At 43.6% G+C, this 17758-nt stretch overlaps 1 protein-coding gene across 10 annotated transcripts in view, besides 2 other annotated features; it reads left to right on the forward strand.

The window, feature by feature from the left end:
- The window catches only part of MR1 (major histocompatibility complex, class I-related), a 28552-nt gene extending 21244 nt beyond the window's left edge, over nucleotides 1-7308 (forward strand). For all 10 annotated transcript variants that reach the window (NM_001310213.2, NM_001531.3, XM_047418899.1 and 7 more), the window contains one exon: nucleotides 595-7308. In NM_001310213.2, coding sequence (NP_001297142.1) covers nucleotides 595-635 — 41 coding nt within the window. In that variant the 3' untranslated portion in view covers nucleotides 636-7308. The remainder of the gene's footprint in view (nucleotides 1-594) is intronic.
- Nucleotides 7398-7527: an enhancer, noted in NCBI's record as "active region_2171". NCBI's record gives its function as "activates an Ori minimal core promoter by ATAC-STARR-seq in GM12878 lymphoblastoid cells {active_cell/tissue: GM12878}" and the evidence as "EXISTENCE:reporter gene assay evidence [ECO:0000049][PMID:35858748]".
- Nucleotides 8168-8217: an enhancer, noted in NCBI's record as "active region_2172". NCBI's record gives its function as "activates an Ori minimal core promoter by ATAC-STARR-seq in GM12878 lymphoblastoid cells {active_cell/tissue: GM12878}" and the evidence as "EXISTENCE:reporter gene assay evidence [ECO:0000049][PMID:35858748]".

A 17758-nucleotide genomic window follows, 5' to 3' on the forward strand; every position in this document is an offset into this window, starting at 1 on the left:
CACTTGAGGTCAGGAGTTCGAGATCAGCCTGGCCAACATGGTGAAACCCTGCCTCTACTGAAAATATTAAAAAAAAAAAAATTAGCTGGGCGTGGTGGCACATGCCTGTAATCTCAGCTACTCAGGAGGCTGAGACAGGAGAATCGCTTGAACCTGGGAGGCGGAGGTTGCCGTGAGCAAAGATCGCTCCATTGCACTCCAGCCTGGGCAGCAAGAGCGAGACTCTGTCTCAAAAAAGAAAAAAGAAAAGAAAAGAAAAGAAAATCAGCTCAGAGAGTTAATGGGTTGTTAATGTTTTCTTTATAGATAAAGTACAGCACTAATCCTAATCCAATAAATGATAGTGAAACAAACAAAAAATTTTTTTACAATGACATCCCTCTCTCAATAATTATACAGACTGTGAGTTCCTGCTTTTTATCTTATAGAGTTTACAAATTTGAGCTAAAGTTTGTCAAGTACTAAGAGAATCTTGACAAAGCAAGCTAAAACTGTCGATGCCTGTTTCTCAGATTTTGCTGAACACTGCATACTTTATTTTTGAGCTGTGAGGAAACATTCTTGTAATCTGACTAAAAACCCCTTTCCTTTCAGAGCAAAATGGAGCCATCTACCTTCCAACACCAGATCGATGATTGCAGATCCCTCTTTTCCAGTTCTCCTTCCTCTAGGAGCCATGTTATCCTCTGTCCCCCATAGAGTCAAGCCTAGTGCTTGAAGGTCCTGACGACACCCACAACATACATGAGAGTAATGGGATTGAGCATTTATGGCAGCAACAGAGGAGCCACAAAATGTTCTTTGTTCTTTGGCTCCAAAAAGACTGTCAGCTTTCAGTCTCTTTTGATGGACTGTTTTATCAGAGTTGACTTTAAATACAGCTTGTCTCATGACACAACGCTTCCCTACATTCTATTTGTCAATGATGATTTGCAACTAGTTGGAGATTCTCAGAGCAGGAAGGAATCTTTTCAACCAGAGCAGGAACTGTCTTCTGCAATGCCTTGGACTTGAGCCTCCAGCCTCCACTTGAACACCATGTGAAGGGAACCTCAGTACTTCATAAAATGGCCTTTCTCATTCATCTTTCATGGGAACATTTATTGTACAAGCGCTTTGAATATCATGGGCACCATGACTGTGACCCTACAGGTAGGATTGGATCACTCCATGAGAGTAGCCGGCAGGTTTCTACAATGGCCTGGGAATGGACTGATTATTTTTATACATTTTCTGGCCTGAGAGAAAGCCAAAGTCCCCTGCTGTTCACAGCAACCCTGCCTGGGAGCTTGGAATCTTGGTAATCTGCCCGGTTGGATCTATGGAGGTAGTCTCACCCTTTTTGTCTTTTGTGGGAAATTAAGAGAAATAATTATCAGACATATCATCACCTCCAGTGGAACTACAGAGACCTGGACCCAGCTGCACTATTTTAATGTAAAAATAACAGTATGGCCAGGTGCAGTGGCTCACGCCTGTAATCCCATCACTTTGAGCAGCCAAGGCGGGCGGATCACGAGGTCAGGAGATTAAGACCATCCTGGCCAATATGGTGAAACCCTGTCTCTACTAAAATACAAAAAATTAGCTGGGCATGGTGTTGCGTGCCTGTAGTCCCAGCTACTTGGGAGGCTGAGACAGGGGAATTGCTTGAACCCGGGAGGCAGAGATTGCAGTGAGCCGAGATCACGCCACTGCACTCCAGCCTGGCGACAGAGTGAGACTCTATCTCAAAATAATAATAATAATAATAATAATAATAATAATAATAATAACAGTATATTTGGTGTCAGGAGAGGGCTCAATTCTCATTTCTGCCTTTCCTGTGCTGGCTCATGGTAGCTGGGCATGACTTGCCTTCCTACATAGGTTGTCTTCATACATATGCACTGGGAATCAATAAAAGCCCATGGTGAGAATGAACATCCCCTTAATGTTCCTTACTATCCCCAACCCCTGAGGCCTCACCTACTGCCCTGCCATGTGGAGCTACTTGCCCTGGGGCTGCCAGTCACACATTCCTCGGTCCTACTTCTCTGACCCCGTTTGACTCTGCACCTGAGCCCTAATGCTTACTTCAGTGACCTGAACTTTGACAAGTGGCTTTTGTCCTGCACCTCAGGTTTGACCTCTGCTCTCCCTTGACCTTGACTGTGACATTTGACCTTTGGCTTTAATCATTACAGCCTCAGATAAAGGTACCTTCAGCCCGGGCACAGTGGCTCACGCCTGTAATCCTAGCACTTTGGGAGGCTGAGGCAGGCGGATTCCCTGAGCTCAGGAGTTCAAGACCAGCCTGGGCAACACGGTGAAACCCTGTCTCTACTAAAATACAAATAATTAGCTGGGCATGGTGGCATGTGCCTATAGTCCCAGCTACTTGGGAGGCTAAGGCAGGAGAATCACTTGAATCTATAAGGCAGAGGTGGCAGTGAGCCGAGATCACACCACTGCACTCCAGCCTGGGCAACGGAGCAAGACTCTGTCTCCAAAAAAAAAAAGAAAGATACCCTCAGTGTGCCAGGCCTCTAAGAGCTCACCTGCCAGGCTTCCTCCTTGCTCCACTGTCCCATGTAATTCCATATATGAAGCTACCACTGTACATCTCTCTTTTCCGGTGCCTGTTGAGTTGCATAGAAGCACAGTTGTGTTTATTTTGTTTTTAGGGTTGCCATGGGCAATTTCCGTGCCACTTTTAAGCAGTGTTGCACTGTGAAGAGAATGTAGGCAAGTTTATTTCTGGAATGGTTTCTTCTTACAATCAGAATAGTTAGGATGTAATATATTTTTGGGTGGGCATTTAAAGTGAAAAGGTACATATTTACATAGACACAGGTGATAATGTATCTATGTAAATGCCTTTTGATTCTGCAACTGCAGGATACTCTCATCAAAGACACAGATAAAAAGCCTCTGTGTTTCCAAGGCCTTGCCCTACACCTAACACATAATATGTCCAAATGGATGAAGAGGAGGCAAGGACAAGGATGTGATGACAAAACATTCTGTTATGCACTTGTAGCATTTATGTTTCTTCCTGGGGGATTTTATAATACTAAAAGAATCATAATATAAAGAGATGATTAAAAAAAAAATACTGCCGGGCACGGTGGCTCATGCCTGTAATCCCAGCATTTTGGGAGGCCGAGGTGGGCAGATCACCTGAGGTCGGGAGTTCGAGACCAGCCTGACCAACATGGAGAAACCCTGTCTCTACCAAACATACAAAATTAGCCGGGGATGGTGGCGCATGCCTATAATCCCAGCTACTCGGGAGTCTGAGGCAGAAGAACCGCTTGAACCCGGGAGGCAGAGGTTGTGGTGAGCCGAGATCGCGCCATCGCACTCTAGCCTGGGCAACAAGAGTGAAACTCCATCTCAAAAAAATAAAAATAAAATAAGTAAGTAATACCTAAAATTCTGCAACCTTCATTTTACTATAGATGGTTGAAGATTATATTACTTCTTAATTGTTTTAGCCTTGTTATTGCTTCATTACTTCATGGTTGTTGAGTACAGATGCTCAGTAATCATAACCTATGAAATATTTGACACCATGATCTAAACATTAAAAACAAATAACTGTGCTATTGCCACAGCTATGTTTTGGCTTTGAATTTTCTTTACTGAATATTTTGGATCAAGAACACTAGATGAGAAACCTGTTCAACTCTGTTCTTTTTTTTTTTTTTAACTCCACTGTATTTATTACCTGTTTTTGTTTTTTTTGTTTGTTTGTTTTTGATGTGCATATAGACCAAGATGTGGTAAATTTAAATGGCAGATGTTTTTGATGTGGTACATTTAAGGGAGAGAAAGCAGTTTAAAGAGCAGGGTGAAAAATCCAACAAGACTCCATCGAGAGTTTCTGAGCTCTCCCATCAGGGGCCAGTCCTCCTTTCCTCTCTCCTCTTACTCCCATGATTTCCAAGTTGTGATCCTTTCCTTATTTCTGAGGAATGACTTGGTTTCTCCTCTTCTTTTTTTGGCCTGAGAGAAGATGTTTTTGCACTTGTAGCTATGAGGAACAGATTGTCCACTAGGGAGGCCAGCTGATCATTTTCTGCCAGAGTCACACAGAGCAGTCACACCTTATTTTGAAAACCACTGTCTGGGGTCTTTGTCCTCACATATGCAGGTCTAGTGTCCCCACAAAGTGATCAGATGGATATATAAAGTGGAGTGCCAATGTATTAATTTACTGTGAGAAACACAATTGCTAAGTGGGTCAGATATCTGTCTCAGCTGGTCAGTACACCTTCCAGCAGGAAAATCTACATAAGAACAACTAAATCACAATCTGTAGAGTGCTTGATGACCCCAGAATTGGTGCAAGGGGACACATTCTTGCTTGTTAGCACCTGCTCTCTGGAGTTTGCTATTTTCTCACACACAGTGTATTAGTTCACAGAATGTTCTCCAAGGAGGACAGGGGGCTTTGCCCATAGCCATGTGCTGTGGGCAGCAGAGCTAGGAAGAAGCACAGGCATCTCCCAGCCCAGGTGTTTCCCACTTAACTGCATTGCCCTTTTCATCTTTTTTTTTTCCCCAATAGCTTCAGGACATTCAGTACATTGTGCTTTTTAGAGGTTGATGATTCCACTGCCTGAGCTGCCTTCACCTCTCTTTCTTTGGAAATTGCCATCTTTGAGCATTGTATGTCTCTGTAACATCTCTGCATCTCCTTTTCACTCTGGCCTCCCTTTCTCCATTGTCCTTCTAGCTTCTGGTTGCCCCAAACCCCACAGACTGTGTAACAAAACCCAAAACCTATTGGTTTAAAACAATACCCATTTTATTTTCTTTCATAGTTTCTATGGGTCAGGAATTTGGATATGGCTTGGGTAAGCAGTTCTGGCTTCTCATGGAGTTGGAGGCAAGTGGTGGCTGGAACAGAAATGGGGCAGCCAGGGGTGGTGGCCAGGCATCAGCTACATCTCCTCCATGTAGTCTCAGGAACTCTCCATGTAATCTCTCTGTGTGGGTTGGGCTTCCTCACAACATGGTGGCCTCAGGGCAGTCACTGCTTACATGGCAGCTAGCTTCCCTCAGAGTGAGTATCCCAAGAGATCACAGTCAAAGTGCATAGCATTTATATAATCTAATCTTGGAAGTCACAAAATGTCATTCTTGTGATACTCTCATTGGTGAAGAAGTCATAAAATCCTGCTCAGGTTCAAAAAGAGGGTGTATAGAACCCAACACTCAATAGGAAGATTGTCAGAGTTACATTGTAAGAAGAGCATGTAGTTGGGAGATATCATTGTGGCCATTTTGGGAAAGATGCAACATGTCACAATGTCATGTTCTCCATCGTCTCCCCGTTCCACCTTGTACTGGTTTCCAAGGGTAGTCGTTTAAAAGTACCACAAAAACTGGGTGGCTTGGAACAACAGAAATTTATTGTTTCACAGTTCTGGAGGCCAGAAGTTCAAAATGAAGTGTTGGCAGAAACATGCTGCCTCTAAAGGGACTGGGAAAGGATCTGTTCCAGGCTTCCCTCCTATCTTCTGGTTGTTCCTTGCCTTCTGGCTGCGTAACTCTAGTCTTCATTTGGTGTTCTCCCTGCATGCATGGCTTTGTGTCCAAATTTCCTTTTTTCATGAGGCCATCAGTCATACTGGATTAGGGACCCACTCTACTACTGCAGGATGACCTCACCTTCCCAAATTACATCTGCAACAACCCTATTTCCAAAGAAGGCCACATTCTGAGGTACTGGGGGTTATAACTTCAACATGAATTTTTTGGAGGAAACAATTCAACTCCTAACACATCTCTACCCAACCTCTGTAGGTTCCCTCAATCCACCAAAATTTTTTGGCTCCACTGGATTATCTAGCAGTTAGGAAACCAAGATCATTAAATGAATTCACCGCAACTACAGTGAGACTGACTACCTTAGCTTACCTCTGTGAAAGGAGTTAAGCCAAAGGAATCTGTGGAATTTTGGAGAGTTTGGGAGCATTTGGGGGCAGGAGGCAAATGTTCTTCCTTTAAATCACAACACTTAGTTCTCTTCCATTTATAAGACTCACCCCTCCATCCCAACCCCTGCACCACAGGACAAGGAAGTGTTCTTGGTCTTCAACTTTCATCCCTGATGGTGAAAGCAGTTGCTCCTGACCTATTTGCCCACCAGCTTCTCCTCTGGAGCCTGAGGCTTCTGATGCCTGCCTGGCTGGTTCTCAGTAAGAAGGTCAAGTTCAACCAGAGGGGAGATGCTGATGCCTTTCAGTACTTAAATATGAGTTCAGACCCTGGGGCCTGGACATAAGATTTGGGGTCCCCTGGATATAAGATTTCTGAAAACACTCAGACTGTGGAGACCCCTGCTGAGGGAGAAGCCCCAAACTGTGGCTTCAGGGGAATGCACCAAGGCTCTCATTGAGGCCACCTTCTCCAACAAGCTCCCCTCCTGCTTCCCCATGGCTGGCATGGCTGAGGAAAAAGGACACTGAGCACAGCCCGTGCATGAGCGGCTTGCCATGCAACAGGATAAAACCCATAATGCCACTCAGCAAGCCTTGGTTGTAAATCTAGTTTGATTACATTTGTAATCAAATGATGGCCATTTGTTCTGTTTCTGGTTTGTGAACCAACTGAAGACATAAGCAGGGCCTCAGCTAACCCACAAATAGCACATGTGTGCAAACTGGAAAAATGAACCCTTCTTCTGGGAGGACGCCAGCCCAGGCCAGGTCACCCGGCTTGGCCAGCAGAACACAGAGTAGATTTTGGTCCCGTTTGTTCCCCAGTGGGGTATCTATCCTTGTGCAGGGCACAAGCCTACATGGTGGCTCTGGTCATATCATTAGAAAATAGACAGAAATGGGCTGCACACCAGAATGAATGAATTGAATTGAAAGGGAGGAGTGATGGTGGAAAAAAAAACAAGTCAATTCATTTAGACTGGTAGAACCAGAACCACTGTGTAGTACATCCAAACGGTTAAAATTCCCTGGAAGATGTTACATAATCCTATCATGGTGTTTATTTATGGAAATCTATTTTAAAAATTTTATGTAATACTGCACAGTCTGTTTGCATGATGCCTTGTACGTAGTAGCAACTCAGTAAATACTTTTTGAATGAACTAGTATAGTATTTTAATTAGCTAGTCTTCATGTACTGGTACAAAAGAACAGTGTCATCTTACAGCTGAAGTCATAGAGGGGAAATATCCCACTCAAGATCATATAACATTCCAGGTACTCAGGATGAATGGTTTGAGGACTGGTCTGAATTCTTCAAAGGTTTCAGCTGTATTAACATTCTCCATCTAATAAACTTTATCTTGTCATTGCATTGTCTGTGAGATTAGTGATCTGAAACATTCCATCAATACCCCCACCCCACCCAACACATACATATTAAAGACAAAGATAGAATTCGGAGGTTCTTATGGGAGGTACTGTTTTTCTCGAAGGCTATGAGAAGAGGTGCTGAGAAATGAGTTCTCAGCCATCTTGGGGGCCCAAATATCTGAAACCTTCCAGAAATGTAACTAGTCTGAATTTGCTTTTCTGTCACCATTTGGGTATTTGGTTAATGAAAGTTCTTAACATGCAAATTCCACCCACTCTTACCAATGCCCTGAGCTGGGAAGCACCCTGAGCACTCTTACCACACCCTGAGCTGTTGCTTTTCCTCTCCGCCTTGCCCCCACTCCGTGTTGGCTGCACCAGCAGAGGCTTCTGCATTTGCCCCTGGGCGGGAGTTGGGTATGAAGGTCTGGGCCAGAAGGTTCTGAGTCCCTAAGCTGAGCTGCTGGGTGGCAGCTGGAAGGTCAGGCTGGCTGAAGCCCTGGCGAGGTGACACTGGGTCTGAGGCAGGTGCAGTGGCAGCGGCCAGACCTCTGAGGACACAAATGGGCTAGAGTGTGGGAACAACCGGGGAAACAACCCGGGGGTGGGAAGGGAGTAGGAAGGGGGGAAACAGCTTCTGAGAGGAGGCTACAGGATGAAATGGGAAGCCACGAAAATAAGGAAGTGAAACCAAGGGAGAAATAAGAGTGCCACCCAAGCCGAGGCCGTCCTGGCCTTTCTTCCTTTCTGAGGCATCAGCGCAGATTCTAAGTTTACTTGAACTAACCGAAAGCTCTGTTGTTTTCTGAGCAACATCACAGTGGCATAAATAGAGAATTCCTGGAACACACTGGCAAGACACACGCTCTAGAAGGTGACAATTCTGGGGAAATCTGAAGGGCTGGAATAATAAAAAGTCAAACATTTGGCATCCCATCAGCTGCTGAAACACAACCCTCTCACGTACTTTAAAATACCCAACACATGCACTCTGCATATTACTCACGAAACAGCTACGAATGCACAGTCCCTGTGTTACACACAACAGGAAGTTGCCAAACCAGATGTAACCCACCAAGGCCGAGCACATGGGCAGCCCTTCACCTTACTGTTAAAAGACTGAATGGTCATTGGTCCCTGAGGATCCCTGAAGAAGACAGGCAAGCTGTTCTAATCCAATTTAGGTCTTTGCAACTGAAATTGAGATCAAATTTCAAAGATCTGTAAACTAGTGCAGCTTCACAGACTTGAAATTAGTCTACAAGATGACATGTTTCTGGGCCTAATGATGACATTTTTAGAGACTGCCCCCAGCCACAAGGAATTATTCGTTTTTTCTGTGTGGCATGGTATACACCATATTTTCATTCAAGCCACAGAGTTTTTTTTACCCCAGTTTCTTATTAATAATCTGCCACAAATACTGATATTTAAATCAAATTCTTATGGCCTTCATTAGTTAATCAACCATTCATGAAATATATGCGCCATAAGGCCTGACACTTCAGTGCCTGGCACATAGTAGGCACTCAGTACATATGCATATTGACAAAATGAACTGCTGCTCCTACAAGCCAGACTCTGTAGGCAACACAGCACAATGATGTTCTGAAAATTAGCAAGTACAAAAATGGCCCAGACATATGCTTATAGAAAAATCAAGCTCACATCACAGAAAATAATTTTAGAGATTGTAATCTAGAATGCATTTCTATAAAACAGTCCCTGGGTTTTCTGCTAACAGAAGAAATACAACTCTGGCTGGGGGCACGGTAGCTTACACCTGTAATCCCAGCACTTTGGGAGGCCAAGGCGGGCAGATCACTTGAGGTCAGGAGTTCGAGACCAGCCTGGGCAACATGGTGAAACCCCGTCTCTACTAAAAATACAAAAAAATTAGCTGGGTGTGGTTGCTGGTGCCTATAATCCCAGCTACTTGGGAGGGTGAGGCAGGAGAATCACTTGAACCTGGGAGGCAGAGGTTGCAGTGAGCCAAGATTGCACCATTGCACTCCAGCCTGGGCGACAAGAGCGAAACTCTGTCTCAAAAAAAAAAAAAAAAAAAAAAAAAAAAGAAAAGAAAGAAAGAAATACAACTCTGACAGTGAGCTTTCATAGTAATACTGAAGACACAGGTTGAATAAAACTTTCAAGTGAGATGGGAGGGCCTGCACATAAATATGCCATGAAACAAAGGACATGGGGAGGATGAAGGGCTCAGCACTGCCTCCTTCCCTGCAGCCGCTGGGCTGGGCTAAGAGGACCCATAGGCAGTGGCGATGGCGACAGCAAGGAACTCAGAGATGTTCAGTGAGACAGAGGAACTTCTAATCCTCTAGTTTCCTTTTGTCTTCCTGATAGCCTATCCTCAGAGAAATAATTCCCTTACTAAACGCCTAAGTGCTTTTCAGCTCTGCCACTCAACTGACACTTAGCTATTCTGTGTTGGTATTTATCTGTTTCTGCTCGGCTTATCTCCCTGGCTGGACTATAAACCCCTTAAGGGCACAATGTGAATTCTGTGTCCTTCACTTAGTATCAGGGTGATCTTAAGTTGTTTAACTTCTCTGAGCCTCATTTTTATAAAACCCGGGGCTAGTCAATACCTGTCTTCCAGTGTCAAAGTGGGGATTAAAGGAGATGTGTGTGTGCAAGCATATTGCAAAGAAATGGCATCTGGGATGTGTCTTCCTCTACGTGCTCTCCAGGGACTGCTCCCCATGTCCCATATAATCGCAGCCACCATTTATGGGTGCTTACTATGCACTGGGTACTTCACATATATTACTTCTATTCCTCATAACAACGTTGGCAGCAGGTATTATTATTATTATTTTGTTGAAGTTCAGATAAATTGTATTTCTTGACAAGGTTATATAGTTAATAAGTGGCAGAGGCATGATTCAGACTCAAGACACTGTCTTGAGTCTGGGCACTGTCCTATCTGCACACAGGGCACTGTCCTATCTGCACACAGTAGGCCCACTCCATCAATGCCTGACCAAAACTGTGAGGTGTCATCCACTTAAAACTATTGAGGACTAAACTCTGATTTTTTTATCTTGCCCAAATTCTTATCTAAGGGGACTGGGGAGTCATGCTCTATAAATCATAAATTCTCATCAGATGGGTTTTATTTAACCCTACATATCATGATTTATTTTCCAACTTGACTCTGACATAACATTACCAGACAAAGAAGAAAATCAAAATATTTTAACCTGGCCAGGCGTGGTGGCTCACGCCTGAATCCCAGCACTTTGGGAGGCCGAGGCAGGCGGATCACAAGGTCAGGAGTTCAAGACCACCCTGGCCAACATGGTGAAACCCTGTCTCTACTAAAAATACAAAAATTAGCTGAGCATAGTGGTGTGTGCCTATAATCCCAGCTACTTGGGAGGCTGAGGCAGGAGAATTGCTTGAACCGGGACCCAGGAGGCAGAGGTTGCAGTGAGCCGAGATCGCGTCACTGCACTCCAGCCTGGGCTACAGAGGAAGACTCCGTCTCAAAAAAAAAAAACCCACAAAAATTAGATGGGCGCAGTGGCAGTCACCTGTAATCCCAGCTACTCGGGAGGCTGAGGCAGGAGAATCACTTGAACCCAGCGGAGGCAGAGGTTGCAATGAGCCGAGATCACGCCACTGCACGCCACTGCACGCCAGCCTGGGTGACACAGTGAGACTCCATCTCAAAAAAACATATATATATATGATATGTAATATATTTAATATTAATTTAAATATATCAATTTTAATGTAATTTAAATATTAATATTAATTTAAATATATATATATTTTAAACCTCAAAACATGTTTCTTTGCCTTATTTTGAATTGGCCCTGCAAAGCTGTTCTTTGTCAGGGGAAATTTGCATCTGTAAAGAATCTCTATTAACATAGCTAGATCTTTTTCTTCCAGACCCTCCCAATCCTAAAAAGATTAACTAAGATCTGAATAGGAAACATTTGTCCCCTATTGTCTTTAAGCCACTGTAAGACTTAAAAAGAACTTTGGTCTCCACAATCTTTATCTTAACCTGAACATTCCCTTTCTATCTATCCCAGGTCTTTAGGCAAACTCAACCAATTGTCAACCAGAAAATGTTTAAATTCACCTATAGCCTGGAAGCCCCCACTTTGAGTTGTTCAGTCTTTCTGGACCAAACCAATGTATTTTTTAAATGCATTCGATTGATGTCTCATGCCCCCCTCAAATATATAAAACCAAGCTGCTCCCTGACCACCTTGGGCACATGTTCTCAGGACCTCCTGGGCCATGGTCACTCACTCACATTTGGCTCAGAATAAATCTCTTCAAATATTTTACAGAGTTCGATTCTTTTCGCCGACACTATGTTCTGTACTTAATCTTGGGAACAAAGGAGTTCAAACATCTGTGCAATGAATCAAAAATTAATAAAGGCCCTGATAAATTTAGGAAAGTTTGAATCTTTTTCCTCTGACTTTGATGATGTGACTTAAAGGCTGAACAAGGCCTAAAGGGCCAAATGAAGCAAGTTACCACACATTTCATGGACATGTCAGTGAAACCCGTGGATAACATTCGCTACTTGTTGATTCTTAGTATATGGAGATGCTGGTGCATAAAGGAAAAAGTATAAGCTCCCTCACCTTGCAAAAACAACTCACCCAGGGTAGATCTATGGGCACACAGAATTGCAGAGCTGGAGGGCCCATTGAGTGTCATATAGTTCAATTTTCTCATTTTTTTTTTTTTTTTTTGAGACAGAGTCTCTCTCTGTCGCCCAGGCTGGAGTGCAGTGGCGCAATCTCGGTTCACTGCAACCTCCGCCTCCCGGGTTCAAGCAATTCTCCCGCCTCAGCCTCCTGAGTAGCTGGGATTACAGGTGCCCACCACCACGCCCAGCTAATTTTTGTATTTTTAGTAGAGACGGGGTTTCGCCATGTTGGTCAGGCTGGTCTCAAACCCCTGACCTTGTGATCCACCCATCTCGGCCTCCCAAAGTGCTGGGATTACAGGCGTGAGCCACCGCGCCCGGCAATTTTCTCATTTAACATATGAGAAAATTGAGGCTAGAGTGAGTAAAGTGATTTGCCAAAAGAAACCCTGAAACCAATGATAAACCTCATGTCTTGACATAAATGTTCAACATCTCTAGTCATTAGGGAAATGCAAATTAAGAGCACAATGAGCTATCACTGCATATCTCTAAGAACAGCTAAAATAAAAGAAGGCTGGGTGCGGTGGCTCACACCTACAATCCCTGCACTTTGGTAGGCTCACTTGAGTATCACTTGAGTCCAAAAGTGATACTTTGGGAGTATCACTTGAGTCCAGGAGTTCAGAATCAGCCTAAGGAACATGGTGAGACTCTGATTCTATAAAAAATTAAAAAAAAAAATTAGCTAGGCATGGTGAAATCTGCCTGTAGTCCCAGCTGCTCAGGAGGCTGAGGCTGGAGGATCACTTGAGCCCAGGAAGTCAAGGATACAGTGAGCTGTGTTTGTGCCACAGCACTCTAGCCTGTGCTGTCGGGCGAGCGGCACTCTAGCTTGGGGTATGGAGGGTAGGGGAGCGAGAGGGAGAGAGAGACCTTTGTCTCTTAACAAAAAGAAGTGATAATACCAAATGCTGGTGAGGATGTGGAAAAACTCAAAACAGTTTGGTCATTTCTTTTTATAAAGTTTTTGTGTATATATTTATGGGGTACATGAGATGTTTTGATACAGGCATGAACTATGAAATAAGCACATCATGGAGAATGGGGTATTCATCTCCTCAAACATTCATCCTTTAAATTATAAACAATCTAATTACATTCTTTAGATAATTTAAAAATATGGCTGGGCGCGGTGGCTCATGCCTGTAATCCCAGCACTTTGGGAGGCTGAGGCGGGCAGATCACAAGAAGGTCAGGAGATCGAGACCATCCTGGCTAACACGGTGAAACCCCGTCTCTACTAAACGAAATACAAAAAATTAGCCGGGCGTGATGGTAGGCGCCTGTAGTCCCATCTACTCGGGAGGCTGAAGCAGGAGAATGGCGTGAACCTGGGAGGCGGAGCTTGCAGTGAGCCAGGATCACGCCACTGCACTCCAGCCTGGGTGACAGAATGAGACTCCGTCTCAAAAACAAAAAAGAAAGAAAGAAAGAAAGATTATTTAAAAATATACAATTACATTATTGTTGACATAGTCACCATATTGTGCTATCAAGTAGTAAGTCTTATTCATTCTTTGTTTTTTTGTACCCATTAGTTTGGCCATTTCTTTAAAAACTTGATATACACTTACCCAGCAATTTTATGCCTGGGCATTTACCCTAGAGAAATGAAAAATTATGTACTCATAAAAATCTGTATATGAATACTCATAGCAGCTTTATTTGTAATAGACTCAAACCAGAAACAATCAAAATGTCCCTTGATAAGTGAACTGTTAAATGATGGTACATCCATGCCATGGAATATTACTCAGCAATAGGAAGGAATGAACTACTGATGCATGCAACAATTTGGATGAATCTCAAGGGTATTGTGCAGAGTAAAAAATGCCAGTCTCAAAAGGGTCACCTACCATATAATTCCATTTATATAGCATTCTCAAAATGACAAAATTATAGAGATGAAAAACAGATTAGTGGTTGCCAGGGTTAGGAATGGCTCAGGGGAGGGCATGAGTAGACTGTGAAGGGGTAGCATGAGAAAGAGCTTTGTGGTGATGGGATGGTCCTGCATCCTGATTGCAGTGGTGGTCATACAGATCTACATGTGTGATAAAATGACACAGAACTATACACATATATTGAACCATATCAATTTCTTGGTTTTGATATTGTACCATAATTATGTAAGATATAACCTTGGAGGAAACTTGGTGAACAGTACATGGAACCTCTCTGTGTTGTCTTTGCACTTTCCTGCAAATCTATAATTATTTCAAAGTAAATTTATTTTATTTTATTATTATTTTTTTTTTTGAGATGGAGTTTTGCTGTTGTTGCCCAGGCTGGAGTGCAATGGTGCAATCTCGGCTCACCGCAACCTCTGCCTCCCGGGTTCAAGCGATTCTCCTGCCTCAGTCTCTGGGACTACTTGCATACACCACTACGCCCAGGTAATTTTGTATTTTTAGTTTAGACAGGGTTTCTCCATGCTGGTCAGGCTGCTCTCGAACTCCCGACCTCAGGTGATCTGCCTGCCTCGGCTTCCCACAGTGCTGGGATTTCAGGCATGAGCCACCGCACCTGGCTAGTAAATTTTTTTTAATTAAAGGACAATGCACCTCCTCATTTCTGTTAGGATATTTGTAATTATCTGGTTTAACTAAATACATTAAACTAATTGCTATAGAGTGTTCCGTAAAGACTAGCCAAATAATAAAATTGACCAGTTAAAGTGACCTGTGTCTTTTATAGCTACCTAAAACCTCTTTTTAAAAAATTGCACTTAGTTTGCAATCAGTAAGTTGTAAATTAAAAATACTTAAGTGGATCCATTAACAGTGGAATAATCTGAAAAGGTTGTCCTATTAAAATTTGGCACTATCATAATATTAAATATCATTTGTTTGGGGATTTTTGGGGATGTTTCCACTGGTTTAAGATTCTAGGCGGGGCATAGTGGCTCATGCCTGTAATTCCAGCACTTTGAGAGGTCGAGGTGGGCAGATCACTAGAGGTCAGGAGTTTGAGACCCGCCTGGCCAACATGGTGAAATCCTGTCTCTACTAAAAATACAAAAATTAGCCAGGGGTGGTTGTGGGTTCCTGTAATCCCAGCTACTTGGGAGGCTGAGGCAGGAGAATTGCTTGAACCCGGGAGGTGGAGGTTACAGTGAGCCCAGAGCAAAACTCTGTCTCAAAGAAAAAAAAAAAAAAAAGATTCTATAGAAGAAAAAGCCCAAGGTATTCGGTTCCTGGATCTTGCTACTATCTTCCATAATTTGAAGACGTCACCACCTAAGGTGACCATCATCTACTTACGTGACTGAAAATTCTCATCACTTGGTGGTGAGCAGCTCAATGAGATGATTTGAACTTTAAGCTCTTTTTGCACAGGCAGGAGGGCTACCACTTAAGACTGATTATACTTCAATTACTCTGATTGTTGGGTTTTAAGATGATTTCTTTGCAGCAGCTCTTGTCTAGCTTTTCATGGCTGCACCTTGAATCTACAGGTAAATCTCCCGTTTTTGGGGGCTTATGTTATCTAAGATGTGTAACTAACGTTTCTTTCCCATTGTGACTGTACCAGTCAATCTAATGAACAAACTTCAGTCACTGCATATTTCCTTAGGGGAAGTTCCCCATGGAATTTATTCATATATTGATTAGACATGATGGCCAGAATCTCAATTTTCTTGGCATGCATTTTAATAGGTCTAACCCTGGTCAGTTTTGTCCACAACAGCTATTCCAAAGTTTCTTCACTCCCTTCAAGCTCCCTGCTTACTTTACAAAGTACCCCACTTACCTCCAACTTTACAAAGATAATTGAGGCTCTCAGAAGTCCCTTAGCTCCTCCATCCACAAATGGACCTGTATCCCATTTCCCTTTATCTTCTTCCATTCAATCACAATCTCAGTAGAGGTGTTCTATTTTTGTCCTGGGCTGGGGCCTTAGCCTCCACCTAAAACTCTAGGTCCCATTTTTTACTGACCCTCCCAAGATCTTTCCCAATTATTCCTCTCTCTCTGCTGTAGTTCAGCCTCATAGACTACCATACGTATGAACAGAAAAAAGTAGAGATCACAGCCAGTTTGAATGACCCTAGTATCAGTGTCTTAGGGCTGCCATAGCAGATTACCTTTAACAACAGATATTTCCTTTGAGTGGCAAGGTGCCCAGCCACAGGAGATGGATCATCACTGGTCAAAGCCAAATGTTGGTATCTTCCCATTCCCCTTTGCCAGTGATTGGTCTAGGGATAGACATGTGACCAAATTCTAGCCAATGAGACATAAAGGAAAATCTTTTAGGGGTTTCTGGGAAACATTTTCTTCCATGATGAGGAAGAACTGTGTGAGGAGAGAATTCCTTGTACCTCCACCTTCCCTTCCTATGTTTTCACATTTTCATGTGAAGATGTGATGTTCAGAGTTGCAATAGCCATCTTGTAACCATTAGTGAAGATACTCTGAGGATGGCAGAGTTGAAAGATTACAGGATTTTTGTCTTTGATTACATCATTGTAGTTACCTTCAGACTCCTTATTATAAAAGATGAATAAATGTCTTTTTTTTTTTTTTTTTGGAGACAGAGTCTCACTCTGTCGCCCAGGCTGGAGTGCAGTGGCGTGATCTTGGCTCACTGCAACCTCCTCCTCCCAGGTTCAAGCAATTCTCCTGCCTCAGCCTCCCCAGTAGCTGGGATTACAGGCGCACAGCACCACGCCCGGCTAATTTTTGTGTTTTTAGTAGAGACAGGGTTTCACCACGTTGGCTGGACTGGTCTCAGACTCCTGACCTCAGGACCTCAGGTGATCTGCCCACTTTGGCCTCCCAAAGTGCTGGGACCACAGGCATGAGCCACGACGACCAGCCACATAAATGTCTTTGTTTTTTTGTTTTGTTTTGTTTTGTTTTGTTTTTTGAAACAGAGTCTTGCTCTGTTGCCAGGCTGGAGTGCAGTGGTGCGATCTCGGCTCACTGCAAGCTCCACTTCCCGGGTTCAAGCGATTCTCCTGCCTCAGCCTCCCAAGCAGCTGGGACTACAGGCACGAGCCACCACTCCCGGCTAATTTTTGTGTTTTTAGTAGAGACAGGGTTTCACCATGTTGGCCAGGATGGTCTCGATCTCTTGACCTCGTGATCTGCTCGCCTTGGCCTCCCAAAGTGCTGGGATTACAGGCATGAGCCACTGAGCCCAGCCTAATAAATGTCTTTGTTACTGCCCAAGTCACTATTATTTATTACTTGCAGCCAGGGATATCCTTTATAATACAATTGACACACTGTATCTCTTCACATTTCCATGTATCCTTGAAATAACATTTCATTATCTAAGGTCAAAAAACAAAACAAAACAAAATGAAAAACAATACCAAAAGAAAGGAGCAGAGATTTCACAGCCAGCCAGCCAAGGATTCCCCCTCTATTTACTAGCTGTGTGATTTTTTTTTTTTTTAGATGGAGTCTTGCTCTGTCATGCAGGCTGGAGTGCAATGCTGCAATCTCGGCTCACGGCAACCTCCACCTCCCGGGTTCGAGCAATTCTCCTGCCCCAGCCTCCCAAGTAGCTGGGACTACAGGCACGCACAACCACTCCTGGCTAATTTTTGTGTGTGTGTGTATTTTTAGTAGAGACAGGGTTTCACCACGTTGGCCAGGCTGGTCTCGAACTCCTGACCTCAGGTGATCTGCCCGCCTCAGCCTCCCAAAGTGCTGGGATTACAGGCGTGAGCCACCACACCCAGCCTACTTAGCTGTGTGATCTTAAGCAAGTTCTTTTACACTGTGGTAAAATACAT

The sequence above is a fragment of the Homo sapiens genome, chromosome 1, assembly GCF_000001405.40.
Source record: "Homo sapiens chromosome 1, GRCh38.p14 Primary Assembly".
Classification (NCBI taxonomy): Eukaryota; Metazoa; Chordata; class Mammalia; order Primates; family Hominidae; genus Homo; species Homo sapiens.